Here is a 23,860-nt window from a genome sequence, read left to right as displayed (position 1 = left end):
AATCAATCTTGCTTCCCAGGGATAAAGCCTACTTGATTGTGGTGAATTCATTTTTTTGCGGGGCAGGGGGGAGGGGGGGTGGGTATTGCAGGGAGCTCCCAACAGGAAACAATGTGGTGGATTAGCTTTTTGATATACTGCTGGATTTGGTTTGCTAGTATTTTGTTTAGGATTTTTGCATCTATGTTCATCAGTGATATTGGTCTGAAGTTTTCTTTTTCTGTTGTCTCTCTGCCAGGTTTTGATGTCAGAATGATGCTGACTTCATAGAATGAATTAGGGAGGAGTCCCTCCTCCTCAAGTTTTTGGAATAATTTCAGTAGGATTGGCACCAGCTCTTCTTTATATGTCTGGTAGAATTTGGCTGTGAATCCATCTGGTCCAGGGCCTTTTCTGGTTGGTAAGTTTTTTTTTAATTACTGATTAAATTTTGGTACTTGTTATTGGTCTGTTCAATTTCATCCTGGTTTAATCTTGGGAGTTTGTATGATTCCAAGAGGTTATCAATTTTGTGTAGGTTTTCTAGTTTGTGTGCATAGTGGTGTTTGTAATAGTCTCTGATTTTTGTTTGTATTTTTATGGGGTCAGTGGTAATATCCCCTTTGTTATTTTTGATTGTGTTTATCTGGATTTTCTCTTTCTTTAGTAGTCTAACTAGTGGTCTACCAGTCTTATTTATTCTACAAAGAACCAACTTTTGGTTTCATGGATCTTTTGTATGGTTTCCCTTATCTCCATTTTGTTCAGTTCAGCTCTAATTTTGGTTATTTCTTTTCTTCTACTAGCTTTGGGGTTGGTTTGCTCTTGTTTTTCAAGTTCCTCTAGGTGTGATGTTAGGTTAATTGGAGATATTTCTAACTTTTTGATGTGGGCATTTAGTGCTATAAACTTTCCTCTCAACACTGGTTTAATTGTGTCCCAGAGATTTTGGTATGTTGTATCTTTGTTCTTATTAGTTTCAAAAAACTTCTTGATTTCTGTCTTAATTTTGTTGTTTACCAAAAAGTCATTCAGGAACAGGAGCATGTACTAACAAGCACATGTAAGTGTGTGGTTTTGAGAGCTCTTGGTATTGATGTCTATCAATAAACTATTTTTGGATTAAGATATGTACACTGTTTTTATACATAATGCTGTCACACACTTAGTAGATCACAGTATAGTGTAAACATATCTTTTATATGCACTGAGAAACCAAAATATTTGTTTGACTCACTTTATTAGGGTGGCCTGGAACTGAATCTGTAATATCTATGAGGTATGCCTGTGCTATAATTTTTCCATGTGATTTAATGGAGTTTTCCAGAAGTGAAATGAGTTACCCAAGGTCATGGAGTTAGCAAATGATAAAGATGGTTTTTTAATTTTAATTTTAATTTTTTAGTATCTGCCTCTGTAAAGATGGGTTTTAAGTTTACATCGGATGAGTGTAAGGCCTGTGATTGTGACACTAGACAACTGTGAATAGTCAATAGCCTGCTGGCTCCTCCGACCTACCATCTGAATCCTCTGAATGTCTATATCAGGGTCAAGATGAAGGAAATGGTCTGACATTTTCAGACCATTTCTTTGTTGGTGCAAGTATAGCCTAAACATTATGAAGAGAGAATTGGTAATATTTATGCACAGATTGAATTATCTGTATTTCTACTTTTATTGGCTTTCCCAAGGAATAAATAAATAAATACTCAAGGATTTAGTTATCATTATGTAACTAATAGTGAATTTCTACAATAGGGAAAAACTGAAACCACCAAGCTTGTCAACAACTGGTGATTAATTGGCAGAGTAATCTACCAATCTATGAAATTTTTGAAAATATTTAGGAGTACAGGAAAATATTTATTGTAAATGTTAAACTTAAAAATAGTCACAGGATTATCCACTATATAAAAATATATATGTACATAAGAAAAAGTCTACTAGAATATATGCACAAATGTTAGCATAGGTTGACAAGATTAACAATTATTTTTAAATTTAATTGTCATTTTCATATTTTTACAAAATTTATGCACTAAGCATGAGTTGCTCTTTTATTAGTACAAGAGCAAAAAATGACATCTTGAAAAGAAATCTTTTTCTTTTTTTTTTCCTACGGAGAGAAGTAAATGATATAAATTGATGAGGGGTCCCAGGAATAGGACAAGGCCAAGAGTATATTGTAAAGTGGGAAGAGGCAAGGAAATAGAACTAGAGAAGAAAATGTTAGGACAATCTACAGGCTTTGCTTCTCTCCCACTTTCCCACTTTCTCATCCCAACCAAACAACTCTGGGAATATTCCTAGACCCAGTCAAGACTTACTCAGAGCCTCTCACAGTCAGCTCAGCTCCTGAAATTTCCCTTCCCATTATGCCCCTCTGCTAGCACTGTAAGGGTATCTAGAGAGAGTGCCTTGGTGATGGGAATAAGCCCAAGATGTATCGTGGCTCTGAGGCCCAGGAAAAGCTGTGGGCTTCACCATCTGGCATACCTGGCTCTGAATTCACTTCCTTTCAAATCTTGTTTCTACCACTTATTGGCTGTGTGGCCTTGGGCAAGTTGCTTAGCTCCTCGATGCTTCAGTTTCTGCATTGGCAAAATATAAATATTTAGCACTAAACTCACTGGGTCACTGAGAGTATTGGTTAATACATGTTAAATATTTGACTCATAGTGAATTTGGTGTCCAACTGGGTGATTCTGAACACTTCAATAAGTGTTTTATTGGTTTATTTAGCAAACCATACATAGCACTGCTTATATGCCAGACATTGGGTCTCAGTGTTTAACACAAAATAACTCATGGAATCCTCCCAAAAATCCTATGAAGAAAGTACTGCTATTCTCACTTTAAAAATGAGGAAATTGAGGCACAGAGATGATTAGTGACTTTCCTAGAGTAAGTGGGATGTAGGATTTGAGTATAGTTTAAGTCTATATATTTAAAATCTACATGTTATGTGATATTTTCGAAGCCCTCTTGGAAGAGATCTCTCTTTTCCTCACAAAAGTCACAAGAGATTGCTGATAAGGTGGTGTTAGGCTGATGCTAGCAATGGAGAAATTAATATAAAGATGGATGAGACTTTATGAAGGTCCTCACACAATGTTAGAAAAAAAATAGATATGTAGATCCTCCTTCCACTCCACAATCACCCAGACTTGTGTCTGAGTGTCCACAATCAGCCAGACTTGTGTGTGTGTTAGGGGAGCAGAGGATTCTGCAGGTCCACAGTGTTCTGTCTCTATCTATATTGCCTGCAGCAAAAAGAAGAAAGTACTCCTTGAATAGGAATTCAGGGACAATGTTCTATATGTACCCAACTTATGGTTTGGGACAGAACTTACAGATCTGCCACAACCAGAAGCATGACTAAGATCTGCATAATTGACTGGTTTTGCTCACCACCTACTCACTGTGCAGGGGCTCCATGGTTCCTAGAGGCAAGGAAGAAGAGCCACCAGTCAAATAGGTTTCAGCACCTCCAACTCCAACATCTTCAAAGGTAGGTGGGGGTCAGGGTCCTGGGGCTGGAAGTGTGAGCCTGTAAAAGCTTTCACCTTTGTCTTGCTTGGATGGGTTCCCTGCCCAAATCATGCCCCTGCATCATGCCAACACTATCCCTCTATGGAATAAATTATTGTTTATGTTATTCAAATGGAGAAACTGAGACAGAGAAAGATAACATGGATAGACATTGTGTGCCTCCATATATGATATCCTGAGAAGGACACAGCATCATCTACATGCTATTCCCATTGAGAATACATAACTTATATCTAATCTTAAGAAAATCTCAGATAAACCCCAATTGAAGACTATTCAGTTCAAAGAAAAGGTTGGCTGTATTCTTCCAAAATTTGAATTTCATAAAAGAAAAAGAACATTATTGGGTGAAGTGATAAAATTTAATACTCATGATAGAATAGATAAAAGTATGTTTGATCAAGGTTAAATTTAACAAAGTTGATAACTGTAGTATGATCATGTAAGATAAGGCTCAGGTTGATAAGAAATACTCATGGAGGAGGCGGCTCCAAGATGGCCGAATAGGAACAGCTCTGGTCTGCAGCTCCCAGCGTGATCAATGCAGAAGATTGGGTGATTTCTGCATTTCCAACTGTGGTACCTGGTTCATCTCACTGGGACTGGTTGGACAGTGGGTGCAACCCATGGAGGGTGAGCGGAAGCAGGGTGGGGTGTCGCCTCACCTGGGAAGGGCAAGGGGTTGGGGGATTTCCCTTTACTAGCCAAGGGAAGCCGTGACAGATGGTACCTGGAAAATCAGGACACTCCCACCCAAATACTGTGCTTTTCCCAAGGTCTTAGCAACTGGCAGACAAAGAGATTCTCTCCCGGGCCTGGCTTGGCGGGTCCCACACCCACGGAGCCTTGCTCACTGCTAGTGCAGCAGTCTGAGATCGAAATGCGAGGTGGCAGCCTGGCGGGGGGAGGGGTGTCCATCATTGCTGAGGCTTCAGTAGGTAAACAAAGTGGCTGGGAAGCTCAAATTAGGCAGAGCCCATCGCAGCTCAGCAAGGCCTAGGCCTCTATAGTCACCACCACTGTGGGCAGGGCATATCTAAACAAAAGGCAACAGACAACTCCTGCAGACCTAAACGTCCCCGTCTGACAGCTCTGAAGAGAGCAGTGGTTCTCCCAGCATGGTGTTTGAGCTCTGAGAACAGACAGACTACCTCCTCAAGTGGGTCCCTGACCCCTGTGTAGCCTAACTGGGAGTCACTTCCCAGTAGGGGCCGACAGACACCTCATATGGCCAAGTGCCCCTCTGGGACGAAGCTTCCAGAGGAAGGATCAGGCAGCAATATTTGCTATTCTGCAGCCTCTGCTGGTGACACCCAGGCAAACAGGGTCTAGAATGGACCTCCAGCAAACTCCAACAGACCTGCAGCTGAGGGACCTGACTATTAGAAGGAAAACTAACAAACAGAAAGGAATAGCATCAACGTCAACAAAAAGGACATCTACACCAAAACCCCATCTGTAGGTCACCAACATCAAAGACCAAAGGTAGATAAAACCACAAAGATGGGGAGAAACCAGAGCAGAAAAGCTTAAAATTCTAAAAACCAGAGTGCCTCTTCTCCTCCAAATGATCGCAGCTCCTCGGCAGCAATGGAACAAAGCTGGACAGAGAATGACTTTGATGAGTTGACAGAAGTAGGCTTCAGAAGGTCTATAATAACAAACTTCTCCGAGCTAAAGGAGGATGTTTGAACCCATTGCAAGGAAGCTAAAAACCATAAGAAAAAGTCAGATGAATGGCTAACCAGAATAAACAGTGTAGAGAAGACCTTAAATGACCTGATGGAGCTGAAAACCATGGCACGAGAACTTCGTGATGCATGCACAAGCTTCAATAGCCAATGCATCAAGTGGAAGAAAGGGTATCAGTGATTGAAGATCAAATTAATGAAATAAAGTGAAAAGACAAGGTTAGAGAAAAAAGAGTAAAAAGAAATGAACAAAGCCTCCAAGAAATACGGGACTATGTGAAAAAACCAAAGCTACATTTGATTGGTGTACCTGAAAGTGATGAGAAGAATGGAACCAAGTTGGAAAACACTCTTTAGGATGTTATCCAGGAGAATTTCTGCAACCTAGCAAGGCAGGCCAACATTCAAATTCAGGAAATACGAGAACATCACAAAGACACTCCTCGAGAAGAGCAACCCCAAGACACAAATTGTTAGATTCACTAAAGTTGAAATGAAGGAAAAAATGTTAAGGGCACCCAGAGAGAAGGGTCAGGTTACCCACAAAGGGAAGCCCATCAGACTAACAGCAGATCTCTAGGCAGAAACCCTGCAAGCCAGAAGAGAGTGGGAGCCAATAATCAACATTCTTAAAGAAAAGAATTTTCAATCCAGAATCTCATATCCAGCCAAACTAAGCTTCATAAGTGAAGGAGAAATAAAATCCTTTACAGACAAGAAATGCTGAGAGATTTTGTCACCACCAGGCCTGTCTTACAAGGGCCCTGAAGGAAGCACTAAACGTAGAAGGAAACAATCTGTACCAGCCACTGCAAAAACATGCCAAATTGTACAGACCATGAAGGCTATGAAGAAACTGCATCAATTAATGGGCAAAATAACCAGCTAACATCATAATGACAGGATCAAATTCACACACAATATTAACCTTAAATGTAAATGGGCTAAATGCCCCAATTAAAAGATGCAGACTGGCAAATTGGATAAAGAGTTAAGACCCATCAGTGTGCTATAATCAGGAGACCCATCTCATGTGCACAGACACACATAGGCTCAAAATAAAGGGATGGAGGCCGATCTACTAAGCAAATGGAAAGCAAAAAAAAAGCAGGGGTCACAATTCTAGTCTCTGATAAAACAGACTTTAAACCAACAAAGATCAAAAGAGACAAGGCCATTACATAATGGTAAAGGGATCAATTCAACAAGAAGAGCTAACTATCTTAAATATATATGCACCCAATACGGGAGCACCCAGATTCATAAAGCAAGTCCTTAGAGACCTGCAAAGAGACTTAGACTCCCACACAATAATAATGGGAGACTTTAACACCCCACTGTCAATATTAGACAGGTCAACGAGACAGAGGGTTAACAAGGATATCCAGGACTTGAACTCAGCTCTGCACCAAGCAGACCTAATAGACATCTACAAAACTCTCCACCCAAATCAACAATATACATTCTTCTCAGCACCACATCGCACTTATTCTAAAATTGACCACATAATTGGAAGTAAAGTACTCCTCAGCAAATGTAAAAGAACAGAAATCACAACAAACTGTCTCTCAGACCACAGTGCAACCAAATTAGAATTCAAGATTAAGAAACTCACTCAAAACCGCTCAACTACATGGAAACTGAACAACCTGCTCCTGAATGACTACTAGGTAAATAACAAAATGAAGGCAGAAATAAAGATGTTCTTTGAAACCAATCAGAACAAAGACACAGCGTACCAGAATCTCTGGGACACATTTTAAGCAGTGCATAGAGGGAAATTTATAGCACTAAATGCCCACAAGAGAAAGCAGGGAAGGTCTAAAATCAACACCCTAACATCACAATTAAAGTAACTAGAGAAGCAAGAGCAAACAAATTCAAAAGCTAGCAGAAGGCAAGAAATAACTAAGATCAGAGAAGAACTGAAAGAGTTAGAGACACAAAAAAACACTTCAAGAAATCAATAAATCCAGGAGCTGGTTTTTTGAAAAGATTAACAAAATTGATAGACCACTAGCATTGCGACAAATAAAGAAAAAAAGAGAGAAGAATCAAATAGATGCAATAAAAAATGATAAAGGGGGGCTATCACCACCAATCCCACAGAAATACAAACTACCATCAGAGAATACTAGAAACACCTCTATGCAAATAAACTAGAAAATGTAGAAGAAATGGATAAATTCCTGGACACATACACCCTCCCAAGTCTAAACCAGGAAGAAGTTGAATCTCTGAATATACTAATAACAGGCTTTGAAATTGAGGCAATAATTAATAGCCTACCAACCAAAAAAAGTCCAGGACCAGAGAGATTCACAGCCGAATTCTACCAGAGGTACAAAGAGGAGCTGGTACCGTTCCTTCTGAAATTATTCCAATCAATAGAAAAAGAGGGAATCCTCCCTAACTCATTTTATGAGGCCAGCATCATCCTGATACCAAAGGCTGGCAGAGACACTACAATAAAAGATAATTTTATACCAATATCCCTGATGAACATTGCTGCAAAAATCCTCAATAAAACACTGGCAAACTGAATCCAGCAGCACATCAAAAAGCTTATCCACCATGATCAAGTTGGCTTCATCCCTGGAATGCAAGGCTGGTTCAACATTCACAAATCAATAAACGTAATCCATCACATAAACAGAACCAAAGACAAAAACCACATGATTATCTCAATAGATGCAGAAAAGGCCTTTGACAAAAATTCAACAACGCTTCATGCTAAAAACTTTTAATAAATTTGCTATTGATGGGACGTATCTCAAAATAATAAGAGCTATCTATGACAAACCCACAGCCAATATCATCCTGAATGGGCAAAAACTGGAAGCATTCCCTTTGAAAACTGGCACAAGACAGGGATGCCCTCTCTCACCACTCCTACTCAACATAGTGTTGGAAGTTCTGGCCTGGGCAATTAGGCAGGACAAGGAAATAAAGTGTATTCAATTAGGAAAAGACGAAGTCAAATTGTCCCTGTTTGCAGATGACATGATTGCATATCTAGAAAACCCCATTGTCTCAGCCCAAAATCTCCTTAAGCTGATAAGCAACTTCAGCAAAGTTTCAGGATACAAAATCAATGTTCAAAAATCACAAGCATTCTTATACACCAATAACAGACAAACAGAGAGCCAAATCATGAGTGAACTCCCATTCACAATTGCTTCAAAGAGAATAAAATACCTAGGTATCCAACTTACAAGGGACGTGAAGGACCTCTTCAAGGAGAACCACAAATCACTGCTCAATGAAATAAAAGAAGATACAAACAAATGGAAGAACATTCCATGCTCATGGCTAGGAAGAATCAATATCATGAAAATGGCCATACTGTCCAAGGTAATTTATAGATTCAATGCCATCCACATCAAGCTACCAATGACTTTCTTCACAGAATTGGGAAAAACTACTTTAAAGTTCATATGGAACCAAAAAAGAGCCCGCATCACCAAGACAATCCTAAGCCAAAAGAACAAAGCTGGAGGCATCACACTACCTGACTTCAAACTATACTACAAGGCTACAGTAACCAAAACAGCATGGTACTGGTACCAAAACGGAGATATAGATCAATGGAACAGAACAGAGCCCTCAGTAATAACGCCGCATATCTACAACTATCTGATCTTTGACAAACCTGAGAAAAACAAGCAATGGGGAAAGGATTCCCTATTTAATAAATGGTGCTGGGAAAACTGGCTAGCCATATGTAGAAAGCTGAAACTGGATCCCTTCCTTACACCGTATACAAAAATTAATTCAAGATGGATTAAAGACTTAAACGTTATACCTAAAACCATAAAAACCCTAGAAGAAAACCTAGGCATTGCCATTCAGGACATAGGCGTGGGCAAGGACTTCATGTCTAAAACGCCAAAAGCAATGGCAACAAAAGCCAAAATTGACAAATGGGATCTAATTAAACTAAAGAGCTTCTGCACAGCAAAAGAAACTACCATCAGAGTGAACAGGCAACCTACAAAATGGGAGAAAATTTTCGCAACCTACTCATCTGACAAAGGGCTAATATCCAGAATCTATAAAGAACTCAAACAAATTTACAAGAAAAAAACAAACAACCCCATAAAAAAGTGGGTGAAGGACATGAACAGACACTTCTCAAAAGAAGACATTTATGCAGCCAAAAAACACATGAAAAAATGCTCACCATCACTGGCCATCAGAGAAATGCAAATCAAAACCACAATGGGATACCATCTCACACCAGTTAGAATGGCAATCATTAAAAAGTCAGGAAACAATAGGTGCTGGAGAGGATGTGGAGAAATAGGAACACTTTTACACTGTTGGTGGGACTGTAAACTAGTTCAACCATTGTGGAAGTCAGTGTGGAGATTCCTCAAGGATCTAGAACTAGAAATACCATTTGACCCAGCCATCCCATTACTGGGTATATACCCAAAGGAATATAAGTCATGCTGCTATAAAGACACATGCACACGTATGTTTATTGAGGCACTATTCACAATAGCAAAGACTTGGAACCGAGCCAAATGTCCAACAATGATAGACTGGATTAAGAAAATGTGGCACATATACACCATGGAATACTATGCAGCCATAAAAAATGGTGAGTTCATGTCCTTTGTAGGGACATGGGTGAAATTGGAAATCATCATTCTCAGTAAACCATCACAAGAACAAAAAAACCAAACACCGCGTATTCTCACTCATAGGTGGGAATTGAACAATGAGAACACATGGACACAGAAAGGGGAACATCACACTCTGGGGACTGTTGTGGGGTGGGGAGAGGCGGGAGGGATAGCATTGGGAGATATACCTAATGCTAAATGACGAGTGAATGGGTGAAGCACACCAGCATGGCACATGTATACATATGTAACTAACCTGCACATTGTGCACATGTACCCTAAAACTTAAAGTATAATAATAATAAAATAAAATTTCAAAAAAAGGAAATTGAAATTATATCAAGCACTCTCTCATACCACAGTGGAATAAAACTGGAAATCAATTCCAAAAACAGCTACAAAACCATGCAAATATATGGAAATTAAATAACCTGTTCCTGAATGATCATTGGGTCAAAAATGAAATCAAGATGGAAATTAAAAAATTATTCGAACTTAACAACAATAGTGACACAACCTATCAAAACCTCTGGGATAAAGCAAAGGCAGTGCTAACAGGAAAGTTCATACCCCTAAATGCCTACATCAAAAAGACTGAAAGAGCACAAATTGACATGCTAATGTCACAGCTCAAGGGACTAGAGAAACAAGAACCAAATCCAAACCCAGCAGAAGAAACCTTAGAAATAACACCACACATCTACAACCATCTGATCTTTGACAAAGCTGAAAAAAGCAAGCAATAGGGAAAGCATTCCCTATTTAATAAATGGTGCTGGGAAAACTGGCCAGCCATATGCAGGAGGTTGAAACTGGATCCTTTTCTTAACCTTATACAAAAATCAACTCGAGATGGATTAAAGACTTAAACACAAGACCTAAAACCATAAAAACCCTAGAAGAAAACCTAGACAGTACCATTCAGGACATAGGGATGAGCAAAGGCTTCATGACTAAAACACCAAAAGCAATGGCAGCAAAAGCCAAAATTGACAAATGGGATCTAATTAAACTAAAGAGCTTCTGCACAGCAAAAGAAACTGTCATCAGAGTGAACAGGCAACCTACAGAATCGGAGAAAAATGTTGCAATCTATCCGTCTGACAAAGGGCCAATATCCAGAATCTACAAAGAACTTAAACACATTTACAAGAAAAAAACCAAACAACCCCATCAAAAAGTAGGCGAAGGATATGAACAGACACTTCTCAGAAGAAGACGTTTATGCAGCCAACAAACATATGAAAAAAAGCTCGTCATCACTGGTCATTAGAGAAATGCAAATCAAAACCACAATGAGATACCATCTCACGCCAGTTAGAATGGCAATCATTAAAAAGTCAGGAAAAAACAGGTGCTAGAGAGGATGTGGAGAAATGGAACACTTTTACACTGTTGGTGGGACTGTAAACTAGTTCAACCCTTGTGGAAGACAGTGTGGTGATTCCTCAAGGATCTAGAACTAGAAATATCATTTGTCCCAGCAATCCCATTACTGGGTATACACCCAAAGGATTATAAATCATGCTGCTATAAAGACACATGCACATGTATGTTTATTGCAGCACTATTTACAATAGCAAAGACTTGGAACCAACCCAAATGTCCATCAATGATAGACTGGATTAAGAAAATGTGGCACATATACACCATGGAATACTATGCAGTCATAAAAAGGGATGAGTTCATGTCCTTTGTAGGGACATGGATGAAGCTGGAAACCATCATTCTCAGCAAACTAACACAAGGACAGAAAACCAAACACTGCATGTTCTCATAAGTGGAAGTTCAACAATGAGAACACATGGACGGGGGGGTGGGCATCACACACCTGGGCCTGTCGGCGGGGGATGTGGGGGAGGGATAGCATTAGGAGAAATACCTAATGTAGATGACGGGTTGATGGGTACAGCAAATCACCATGGCACGTGTATACCTATATAACAAACCTGCACATTCTGCACATGTACTCCAGAACTTAAAGTGTGATAAAAAAAGAAAATAACCAAGATCAGAGCAGAATTAAATGAAATTGAAACAAAAAAATACAAAAGATAAATGAAACAAAAAGCTGGTTCTTTGAAAAGATAAATAAAATTGATATACCATTAGCAAGATTAACCGAGAAAATAAGAGAGAAAATCCAAATAAGCTCATTAAGAAATGAAATGGGAGATATTACAACTGACACCACAGATATACAAACGATCATGTAACGCTACTATGAACACCTTTACACACATACACTAGAAAACCTAGAAGAGATGGATAAATTCCTGGAAAAATACAACCCTCCTAACTTAAATCAGGAAGAATTAGATACCCTGAACAGACCAATAACAAGCAGAGAGATTGAAGATATTAGTCAAAGGGCACAAAATTTCAGTTATACAAGATGGATACATCTCAGAGACTTGTTGTATAGCATAGTGCCCTTAGTTAGCAATACTGTATTGCAAACTTAAAAATTTGTTAAGATGATAGGTCTTATTTTTATTGCACACACACACACACCAAATAATAAGTAAAAAGGCCAGTGGAAACTATTGGAGGTGATGGATATGTTTATGGCCTAGATTGTGATGATGATTACATGGGTGTATACTTGTCTTCAAACTCATTGTAGTTGTATACATTAAATATGTCCTATAAATAGTTTTTTATATGTCAGTTATATCTTAATAGTTTTCAAAAAGTCATTATATAACAGCAAGCTTATATAATTTTGTTTTATAAAAAATCTATATTTATATCTATGCACATATGAAAGATAGAATATTATACATCGATATAGTGGAATTGCTAGAAATATTTTCACTATGTTCTATGTGCTTTTTTATGTTTTAAGAATTTTGTAAGCTAACACTTTAAATGTGCTCAGAACACTTAACATTAGCTTACTGTTGGGCGAAATTATCTAACACAAAGCTTATTTTATAATAAAGTGTTGAATAGCTCATGTAATGTATTTAATACTGTACTGAAAATAAAAAACATTAAAGAGAAAAATTAAGCATGGATGGAAGGGGGAACAATTCTCATTCATGTGCAGAAGAATAGTGTACTTGTTCATGGCTGCTTTAGTTTTATAGTTTCAACAGTGAAACCACTGCAGACAACCTAAATGTTCATTTTCTTTTTATTATACTTTAAGTTTTAGGGTACATGTGCACAACGTGCAGGTTAGTTACACATGTATACATGTGCCATATTGGTGTGCTGCACCCAGTAACTCGTCATTTAACATTAGGTATGTCTCCAAATGCTATCCCTCCCCCCTCCCCCCACCCCACAACAGGCCCTGGTGTGTGATGTTCCCCTTCCTGTGTCCATGTGTTCTCATGGTTCAATTCCCACCTATGAGTGAGAACACGCAGTGTTTGGTTTTTTGTCCTTGCGATAGTTTGCTGAGAATGATGGTTTCTAGCTTCATCCATGTCCCTACAAAGGACATGAACTCATCCTTTTTCATGGCTGCATAGTATTCCATGGTGTATATGTGCCACATTTTCTTAATTCAGTCTACCATTGTTGGACATTTGGCTTGGTTCCAAGTCCTTGCTATTGTGAATAGTGCCTCAATAAACATACGTGTGCATGTGTCTTTATAGCAGCATGATTTATAATCCTTTGGGTATATACCCAGTAATGGGATGGCTGGGTCAAATGGTATTTCTAGTTCTAGATCCTTGAGGAATCTCCACACTGACTTCCACAATGGTTGAACTAGTTTACAGTCCCACCAACAGTGTAAAAGTGTTCCTATTTCTCCACATCCTCTCCAGCACCTGTTGTTTCTGGACTTTTTAATGATCTCCATTCTAACTGGTGTGAGATGGTATCCCATTGTGGTTTTGACTTGCATTTCTCTGATGGCCAGTGGTGATGAGCATCTTTTCATGTGTCTTTTGGCTGCATAAATGTCTTCTTTTGAGAAGTGTCTGTTCATATCCTTTGCCCACTCTTTGATGGGTTTGGTTTTTTCTTGTAAATTTGTTTGAGTTCTTTGTAGATTCTGGATATTAGCCCTTTGTCAGATGGGTAGATTGCAAAAATTTTCTCCCGTTCTGTAGGTTGCCTGTTCACTCTGATGGTAGTTTCCTTTGCTGTGCAGAAGCTCTTTAGATTAATTAGATCCCACTTGTCTATTTTGGCTTTTGTTGCCATTGCTTTTGGTGTTTTAGTCATGAAGTCCTTGCCCATGCCTATGTCCTGAATGGTATTGCCTAGGTTTTCTTCCAGGGTTTTTATGGTTTTACATCTAACATTTAAGTCTTTAATCCATCTTGAATTAATTTTTGTATAAGGTGTAAGGAAAGGATCTAGTTTCAGCTTTCTGCACATGGCTAGCCAGTTTTCCCAGCACCATTTATTAAATAGGGAATCCTTTCCCCATTGCTTGTTTTTCTCAGGTTTGTCAAAGATCAGATGGTTGTAGATGTGTGGTGTTATTTCTGAGCCCTCTGTTCTGTTCCATTCGTCTATATCTCTGTTTTTTTTTACCAGTACTATGCTGTTTTGGTTACTGTAGGCTTGTAGTATAATTTGAAGTCAGGTAACGTGATGCCTCCAGCTTTGTTCTTTTGGTTTAGGATTGACTTGGCGATGTGGGCTCTTTTTTGGTTCCATATGAACTTTAAAGTAGTTTTTCCCAATTCTGTGAAGAAAGTCATTGGTAGCTTGATGTGGATGGCATTGAATCTATAATTTACCTTGGGCAGTATGGCCATTTTCTCGATATTGATTCTTCCTAGCCATGAGCATGGAATGTTATTCCATTTGTTTGTATCCTCTTTTATTTCATTGAGCAGTGGTTTGTAGTTCTCCTTGAAGAGGTCCTTCATGTCCATTGTAAGTTGGATTCCTCGGTATTTTATTCTTTTTGAAGCTATTGTGAATGGGAGTTCACTCATGATTTGGCTCTCTGTTTGTCTGTTATTGGTGTATAAGAATGCTTGTGATTTTTGAATACTGATTTTGTATTCTGAAACTTTGCTGAAGTTGCTTATCAGCTTAAGGAGATTTTGGGCTGAGACAATAGGGTTTTCTAGATATACAATCATGTCATCTGCAAACAGGGACAATTTGACTTCCTCTTTTCCTAACTGAATACCATTTATTTCCTTTTCCTGCCTGATTGCCCTGGCCAGAACTTCCAACACTATGTTGAATAGGAGTGGTGAGAGAGGGCATTCCTGTCTTGTGCCAGTTTTCAAAGGGAATGCTTCCAGTTTTTGCCCCTTCAGTATGATATTGGCTGTGCATTTGTCATAGATAGCTCTTATTATTTTGAGATACATCCCATCAATACCTAATTTATTGAGAGTTTCTAGCATGAAGGGTTGTTGAATTTTGTCAAAGGCCTTTTCTGCCTCCATTGAGATAATCATATGGTTTTTGTCGTTGGTTATGTTTATATGCTGGATTATGTTTATTGATTTGCATATGTTGAACCAGCCTTGCATCCCAGGGATGAAGCCCACTTGATCATGGTGGATAAGCTTTTTGATGTGCTGCTGGATTCAGTTTGCCAGTATTTTATTGAGGATTTCTGCACCAATGTTCATCAGGGATATTGGTCTAAAATTATCTTTTATGGTAGTGTCTCTGCCAGCCTTTGGTATCAGGATGATGCTGGCCTCATAAAATGGGTTAGGGAGGATTCCCTCTTTTTCTATTGATTGGAATGCTTTCAGAAGGAATGGTACCAGCTTCTCCTTGTACCTCTGGTAGAATTTGGCTGTGAATCCATCTGGTCCTGGACTTTTTTTGATTGGTAAGCTATTAATTATTGCCTCTATTTCAGAGCCCATTTTTGGTCTATTCAGCGATTCAACTTCTTCCTGGTTTAGTCTTGGGAGGGTGTAGGTGTCAAGGAATTTATGCCTTTCTTCTAGATTTTCTAGTTTACTTGCATAGAGGTGTTTCTAGTATTCTCTGATGGTAGTTTGTATTTCTGTGGGATCGGTGTTGATATCCCCTTTATCATTTTTTATTGCATCTATTTGATTCTTCTCTCTTTGCTTCTTTATTAGTCTTGCTAGCAGTCTATCAGTTTTGTTGATCTTTTCAAAAAACCAGCTCCTGGATTCATTGATTTTTTGAAGGGTTTTTTATGTCTCTATTTCCTTCAGTTCCTTTCTGATCTTAGTTATTTCTTGCCTTCTGCTAGCTTTTGAATTTGTTTGCTCTTGCTTCTCTAGTTCTTTTAATTGTGATGTTAGGGTGTCAGTTTTAGATCTTTCCTGCTCTCTCTTGTGGGCATTTAGTGTCATAAATTTCCCTCTACACACTGCTTTGAATGTGTCCCAGAGATTCTGGTATGTTGTGTCTTTGTTCTCATTGGTTTCAAAGAACATCTTTATTTCTGCCTTCATTTTGTTATGTACCCAGTAGTCATTCAGGAGCAGGTTGTTCAGTTTCCAAGTATTTGAGTGGTTTTGAGTGAGTTTCTTAATCCTGAGTTCTAGTTTGATTGCACTGTGGTCTGAGAGACAGTTTGTTATAATTTCTGTTCTTTTACATTTGCTGAGGAGTGCTTTACTTCCAACTATGTGGTCAATTTTGGAATAAGTGCAGTGTGGTGCTGAGAAGAATGTATATTCTGTTGATTTGGGGTGGAGAGTTCTGTAGATGTCTATTAGGTCCTCTTGGTGCAGAGCTGAGTTCAATTCCTGGAAATCCTTGTTAACTTTCTGTCTTGTTGGTCTGTCTAATGTTGACAGTGGGGTGTGAAAGTCTCCCATTATTATTGTGTGGGAGTCTAAGTCTCTTTGTAGGTCACTCAGGACTTGCTTTATGAATCTGGGTGCTCCTGTTTTGGGTGCATATATATTTAGGATAGTTAGCTCTTCTTGTTGAATTGATCCCTTTACCATTATGTAATGGCCTTCTTTGCCTCTTTTGATCTTTGTTGGTTTAAAGTCTGTTTTATCAGAGACTAGGATTGCAACCCCTGACTTTTTTTGTTTTCCATTTGCTTGGTGGATCTTCCTCCATCCCTTTATTTTGAGCGTATGTGTGTCTCTGCATGTGAGATGGGTTTCCTGAATACAACACACTGATGGGTCTTGACTCTTTATCCAATTTGCCAGTCTGTGTCTTTTAATTGGAGCATTTAGCCCATTTACATTTAAGGTTAATATGGTTATGTGTGAATTTGATCCTGTCATTATGATGTTAGCTGTTATTTTGCTTGTTAGTTGATGCAGTTTCTTCCTAGTCTCGATGGTCTTTACAATTTGGCATGTTTTTCAAGTGGCTGGTACCAATTGTTCCTTTCCATGTTTAGTGCTTCCTTCAGGAGCTCTTCTTGTAGGGCAGGCCTGGTGGTTATAAAATCTCTCAGCATTTGCTTGTCTATAAAGTATTTTATTTCTCCTTCACTTATGAAGCTTAGTTTGGCTGGATATGAAATTCTGGGTTGAAAACTCTTTTCTTTAAGAATGTTGAATATTGGCCCCCACTCTCTTCTGGCTTGTAGAGTTTCTGCCGAGAGATCCACTGTTAGTCTGATGGGCTTCCCTTTGTGGGTAACCCGACCTTTCTCTCTTGCTGCCCTTAACATTTTTTCCTTGATTTCAACTTTGGTGAATCTGACAATTATGTGTCTTGGAGTTACTCTTCTCGAGGAGTATCTTTGTGGCATTCTATTTCCTGAATTTGAATGTTGGCCTGCCTTGCTAGATTGGGGAAGTTCTCCTGGATAATATCCTGCAGAGTGTTTTCCACCTTGGTTCCATTCTCCCTGTCACTTTCAGGTACACCAATCAGACGAAGATTTGGTCTTTTCACATAGTCCCATATTTCTTGGAGGCTTTGTTCATTTGTTTTTATTCTTTTTTCTCTAAACTTCTCTTCTCGCTTCATTTCATTCATTTCATCTTCCATCACTGATACCCTTTCTTCCAGTTGATCGAATTGGCTACTGAGGCTTGTGCATTTGTCACATAGTTCTCATGCCTTGGTTTTCAGCTCCATCAGAATTCCTTTAAGGACTTCTCTGCATTGGTTATTCTAGTTGGCCATTCGTCTAATTTTTTTTCAAGGTTTTTAAATTCTTTGCCATGGGTTCGAACTTCCTCCTTTAGCTCAGAGTAGTTTGATCGTCTGAAGCCTTCTCTCAACTCATCAAAGTCATTCTCCATCCAGCTTTGTTCCATTGCTGGTGAGGAGCTGTCTTCCTTTGGAGGAGGAGAGGCACTCTGATTTTTAGAGTTTCCAGTTTTTCTGCTCTGTTTTTCCCCCATCTTTGTGGTTTTATCTACCTTTGGTCTTTGATGATGGTGACGTACAGTTGGGGTTTTGGTGTGGATGTCCTTTCTGTTTGTTAGTTTTCCTTCTAACAGTCAGGACCCTCAGCTGCAGGTCTATTGGAGTTTGCTCGAGGTCCACTCCAGACCCTGTTTGCCTGGGTATCAGCAGTGGAGGCTGCACAACAGCGGAGATTGGTGAACAGCAAATGTTGCTGCCTGATCGTTCCTCTGGAAGTTTTGTCTCAGAGGAGTACCCAGCTGTGTGAGGTGTCAGTCTGCCCTACTGGGGAGTGCCTCCCAGTTAGGCTACTCGGGGGTCAGGGACCCACTTGAGAAGGCAGTCTGTCTGTTCTCAGATCTCCAGCTGCGTGCTGGGAGAAACACTACTCTCTTCAAAGCTGTCATACAGGGACATTTAAGTCTGTAGAGGATTCTGCTGCCTTTTGTTTGGCAATGCCCTCCCCCAGAGGTGGAGTCTACAGAGGCAGGCAGGCCTCTTGAGCTGTGGTAGCCTCCACCCAGTTCATGTTTCCTGGCTGCTTTGTTTACCTACTCAAACCTCGGCAATGGAGGGTGCCCCTCCCCCAGCCTCGCTGCCGCCTTGCAGTTTTATCTCAGACTGCTGTACTAGCAATGTGTGAGGCTCCGTGGTCATAGGACCCTCTGAGCCATGCATGGGATATAATCTCCTGGTGTGCCATTTGCTAAGACTGTTGGAAAAGCGCAGTATTAGGGTCGGAGTGACCCGATTTTCCAGGTGCCGTCTGTCACCCCTTTCTTTGACTAGGAAAGGGAATTCCCTGACCCTTTGCACTTCCCAGGTGAGGCAATGCCTTGCCCTGCTTTGGCTCATGCTCGGTGTGCTGCACCCACTTTCTGACACTCCCCAGTGAGATGAACCCGGTACCTCAGCTGGAAATGCAGAAATCACCTGTCTTCTGTGTCGCTCACGCTGGGAGCTGTAGACTGGAGCTGTTCCTATTCAGCCCCTAAATGTTCATTTTCATGAAAATGAATAAATATTGTGTGACATATTCACAGAATGGAATATTATGCAACAACAAAAACAAACAAACAAACAAAACAAAAAAAACCCCTCCAGAATGGTTGATGGGTACTGAAAGTACGATTTGTACTGGATGTATATTGCCTTTTGCACCATCATAAAGTTGAAAAGTTGTATGTCAAACCATCATAAGTTAAGGACCCTCTCTATATATATGGTGTATAATAGTGCTGGGCACATAGTAGGTGTTCAATAAATGTTGAATACATTTTCAAAAAGAATTTTGTTCAAACCAAATACTGCATGTTCTCACTTATAAGTGGGAGCTAAATGATGAGAACTCATGAATACAAAGAAGGAACAACCAACACTGGGGTCTACTTGAGGGTGAAGGGTGGAAGGAGGGAGAGGAGCAGAAAAGATGACTGTTGGGTACTGGGCTTAATACCTGGGTGATGAAATAATCTGTACAACAAACTCTCATGATACAAGTTTTCCTGTGTAACAAACCTTCACATGTACCCCAAACCTAAAATAAACGATTTAAAAAAATTTTTTTGTAAGCTGAATTTGAATTATGTTTTAATCAAAATAAGGCAACACATTATATTTTTTTTCCAGCAAAAGGAAAACATGAGGTGTGAGATGGAGGGATTCCTTTTGGCAAAGCCAACGCTCAGCTTAGGTGTGCCAGTTGTTGGGTAGGCAGAGGCCTAGGGGGAATAGTGAGAAGATAAAGAATGAAGAAATTCGACAAGCACTTTCTCTTGCTTCACACCTCTCTTTCCCTATTTATATGTCTTGATCTCTAGCAGCGACTGGGAAGAAAAATAATCCTTCTGACAACACATATTCAGACACATATGGTCAGCCTCATGAAGCTCTGGATACCCATGCTCATGACATTCTTCTGTACGGTGCTACTGTCTGTGCTGGGAGAAATGAGGAAGAAAAGATATGACAGTAGGTGGTGAGGCTGGATTAGGGGCCACAGGAGGGGGATGAGCTTGTTTCTGAACAAGGGAGGGGGTTTCATTGTCCGCTGTATCTGACTCAGGACCCACCTTCGTAGTATCACCCATCAGAGAATGACAATTTTGTATGCACAGAGATTCAAGAAATCCCTAAGCTGAGGTCCTTCAATGCTTCCTCTTTTAACCTTTAAAATAGCAATATCTGTCTATCTCTCTCTCTCTGTCTCTCTCTCTCTCTCTCTATATATATACAAACACATGTGTGTGTGTGTGTGTGTATATATACCATAAGCTATAAACATAAAAATATTTTCCAATGTTAGGCTGTCTTTGAGGGTCAGATGTCAGTATAGAGCTAATCCTGTAGCTCTATACTGGTATCCCTGTGCCCTAGCTGCATATACTTTGTCATATGAGTACCAAATGGGCATTTCTTAATACATACCCTTAGTTTCAGTGGCAAGGCTTTCAGAATGTGAAAAGTTAGGAAAGAGGCTTGAGATCCCTTCTTAGTGGGGCAACCTTGGGGGTCATATGATGAGAAAATGGGGTGAATAGAGGGGCTAAGAAAACTGAGTGAGAGAGATAAGAATTTGAAGAGAGGCTGAGTTATTAAACACAGAGTCAGCAAGTAGGGAAAGAAAAAGGGAGAGAATCTGTTTCTTACTTGACCTGGCCTAGCTCCCCACTCTGTGAAATAGGCATTGCAATGAGGCTACAAGATATGCCGGGCCCTGAGATCTCCTGTTATGTAAATGCAGATTTTATAGGAGGTTACATGAATGCTCCGGGTTGACTGAGTTTTATCGTTGGGATGCTCAGAGAGGGCCCAGAGGCCTGCAACACTGGTAAAGCCTGCAGAGGTCGAGAAGGAAAAGAAGTCAGTGAAGATGCAATAGGGTCAGTGAATGTATAATGACAGGAATTTGAGGAGGCTCATGAAGGCAATTCCCTTAAAAGGCAAATAGATATCTTGGTTGGAATTTGGGGCCCAGATTCCAGGAGGAACTGTTAAACGTATGAAAGGCCTTTCTTTCCGCTCTTGGCTGAAACATACCATCAACCTTTGACCATCTCATCTCAATTTCAGGGAAGGAATTGTTACTTGAAGAATGCTGGGGAAAGCCAAATGTCAAAGAATGTACCAATAAGTGTTCTAAAGCCTTTAGATGTAAAGACAAAAATTACACATGCTGCTGGACCTATTGTGGAAACATCTGCTGGATAAACGTCGTGAGTTGGGAGATGTTTGCTTGGGTGTATATCTTCACTGATTCTCATTCCCTTCTCGGAGGCTGTTATTCCTAAACAGAAGACTGAGGTACCCCAAATTCTAGGTACAAAAATAACAGAAGACAATGTCCCTTTAACTTGGAAAGCAATTCACTGGCGAGTAAATCAAGACACCAGCTTAGACCCCATTGTTTCTTTCATTATATAATCAATACCTGTCTGTGTTGTCTTCTTTGTATTACACCATAGTTTGCTATTTTTCCTAAATTTGTCCAGATTTCTAACCACTGCTTCCATAGTCAGACTTTCCCATGGGCCATTTGGCTCAGCCAGGCCCAAAGTCTCCACCTTTTTTTGTCCAATACCTCACCTACTCAGAAGTGGACAACTCCTGTTGTTACGTTAAAGTATTCTTGTCCCATTGTCTGGTGAACATGGATACTATTAAGCAGGGGGAATGAATGCTTGTTTCTCAGAGTTCTCTAGCCTCTAAAAATCTAACCTTTTTGTTTTACAGGAAACCAGTGGAGATTACTAAAACCGTAGCTTCCCACCAGGCTGCCACCTGTGTGGGCTGGGAAATGTTTAAGAGGTCTCATAGTAGTACCCTGTGGCTACTTTTAGGAACACCAGTCTATTTTTACTGAGAGCTGGACAACAGCAAACACTTGACAAATAAACTTATTTACCAGTAGTGGCCTTGCCTTTTTTCAGCTCATCCCACCACCCATGAGTACCCTTATTACAAATCCCCAGTATTGTTCCTCTCCTACATTGTAGACTACCTTCCAACTTTTGCTGTCCCATCTGATAAGCTTAGAACTGATAAGCTAATTTCATGGGCTTCACAGAACAGAATTTTATTTCTGTCCCATTTTTAATGTGGGGAATTTTCAGTAGCACTTTCACTCAGTTGTTTAGAGAGCAGGTGTCTGGTAAATGGTTTCTCACAGAGATATGGATAAACAATTCTAAAACTACTTTCCATATATACAAGTTTAAACAAATAAGTAAATAACTGGAAGATAATTTGAGTAAGGTTTCTAATTGTCAGAAGAAAGAAATTACAAATAGGCTGACCTCAGCAGCCCCAGGCTCCAGGTCTGCCTAGTAGACTTGATCTCTGGGTCTGCTCTAGTGCCAGCTCAACCCTAGCGGCCCCAGTGGCAGACAGGCCCCAGCAGTCCTAGCTTCAGGCTAGCCCCAACAGAGTCATGTTCTAAGCCCATCCCAGGGCCAGGCAGACCCCAAGGCCCTAAGCTCTGGACCTTCTCCAGCACTGGGCTGGCCCTCATAGCTTCAGGCTTCAAGTCTACCTCAGCACCAGGTTGATTTCCACAGCCCTACTCCTCAGACCAGCATGTGCAGACTCAGCCTCCAGGCCAGGCCCTACAAATACAAGATCCAGGACCACTCAGTACTAAGCCAACCCCCGTGGCCTCAGGCTTCCCACCCATTCCAGTGCCAGATCAGCATCCCTGGCCTTAAACACCAGGAAGATACCTACAGACACAGGCTCAGGCCTGCACAGTGCCAGGCCAGTCTCCATAGCACCACCCTCCATTTGACTGAAGGTCCAAGAGTCTCAGTAGACTCCAGAGCTGGACCAGGCTTCTTGGCTCTAGGCTCCAGGACAGCTCCAGTGACTCTAGGCACCAGGTCAGTGCCCATGATCTTGAGGCTCCAGACCAGCCCTTGTGAACCAAACTCCACACTAGCCCCAGTACCAGGTTGACTGTAGGCTCCAGGCCAGTCCATGTGCACCCAAGGCCCAGTGAACCCAGAGTCCAGGCCTGATATAGCAGATCCAGGGTCCAGGCCCACCCCAGTAGAACTCAGTTCTAGGCCGGATCCCATAGGCTGAGGCTCCAAGAACACCCCTGCAGACATAAGCTCCAGGACAGCCCTGAGGTACTCAGGCTCCAGACCCATCTCAATAGTCCCAGGTGCCATCCCCCTCCCAGAACTTGGCCAGACCCTGTAGATTCAGGCTCACGGTCCATCCCAGAGCCAGGTTAGCTCCTGTGTACCCAGGCATGAGGCTGGCCTTCACTGATACAAGGTCCAGGCCTGCCTTCTTGAACCCTGGCTCCAACACCATTCCTGCAGACCCAATCAACAAATTCACCCCAGTGGATCCAGCCTTCAGGCCCAACCCTGTGGACTCAAGCACCAGGCCCACCCACCTCCTGACCCAGGAACCAGGCCAGCCTGCCTGAGGACTCTAGCAGCAAGTATGACCTGGGATCATGCCAGATGGCCTCTCCCGAACCTCCGGATGACTGATAAAGGGCTTCCCCAGAAAAAACTAGTCTTCAAAGACTGAAATGTCCTTATTTCTTCAAATGCACACACATTAATGTAAGGCAATAACAAAAAAAAATACAAGGAGAACACCAAAGAATACAGTGATCTCTCCTCTCTCCTCTCTCCTCTCTCCTCTCTCTCCCCTCTCCCCTCTCCCCACGGTCTCCCTCTCCCTCTCTTTCCACGGTCTCCCTCTGATGCCGAGCCGAAGCTGGACTGTACTGCTGCCATC

At 40.7% G+C, this 23,860-nt stretch overlaps 1 protein-coding gene across 2 annotated transcripts; it reads left to right on the top strand.

The window, feature by feature from the left end:
* Window positions 1-338: 338 nt before the first annotated feature.
* Window positions 339-22,015, top strand: WFDC11 (WAP four-disulfide core domain 11). Of its 2 annotated transcripts, none has more exons than NM_147197.2 (5): window positions 339-400; window positions 3,409-3,490; window positions 19,927-20,077; window positions 21,179-21,321; window positions 21,839-22,015. In NM_147197.2, the coding sequence occupies exons 3-5, from the start codon at window positions 19,978-19,980 to the stop codon at window positions 21,857-21,859; spliced, it is 264 nt and encodes an 87-aa protein (NP_671730.1). In that variant the 5' UTR covers window positions 339-400; window positions 3,409-3,490; window positions 19,927-19,977; the 3' UTR covers window positions 21,860-22,015. The 2 variants fall into 2 exon arrangements, with proteins under 2 accessions (NP_671730.1, XP_047296036.1); XM_047440080.1 differs by having other exon boundaries at window positions 3,249-3,490.
* Window positions 22,016-23,860: the final 1,845 nt, after the last annotated feature.

This window comes from Homo sapiens, chromosome 20, assembly GCF_000001405.40.
Source record: "Homo sapiens chromosome 20, GRCh38.p14 Primary Assembly".
Classification (NCBI taxonomy): Eukaryota; Metazoa; Chordata; class Mammalia; order Primates; family Hominidae; genus Homo; species Homo sapiens.
The sequence above is the reverse complement of the archived record's forward strand: the minus strand, read 5'-3'. Positions and strand labels throughout refer to the sequence as shown.

Excerpts from the sequence above, each read along its gene's own strand:
- WFDC11 (NM_147197.2), top strand. The coding sequence starts at position 19,978 with ATGGTCAGCCTCATGAAGCTCTGGATACCCATGCTCATGACATTCTTC. Across the intron at positions 20,078-21,178 it reads GAGGAAGAAAAGATATGACA|GGAAGGAATTGTTACTTGAA; the intron begins GTAGGTGGTGAG and ends TCTCAATTTCAG. Across the intron at positions 21,322-21,838 it reads ACATCTGCTGGATAAACGTC|GAAACCAGTGGAGATTACTA; the intron begins GTGAGTTGGGAG and ends TTTGTTTTACAG.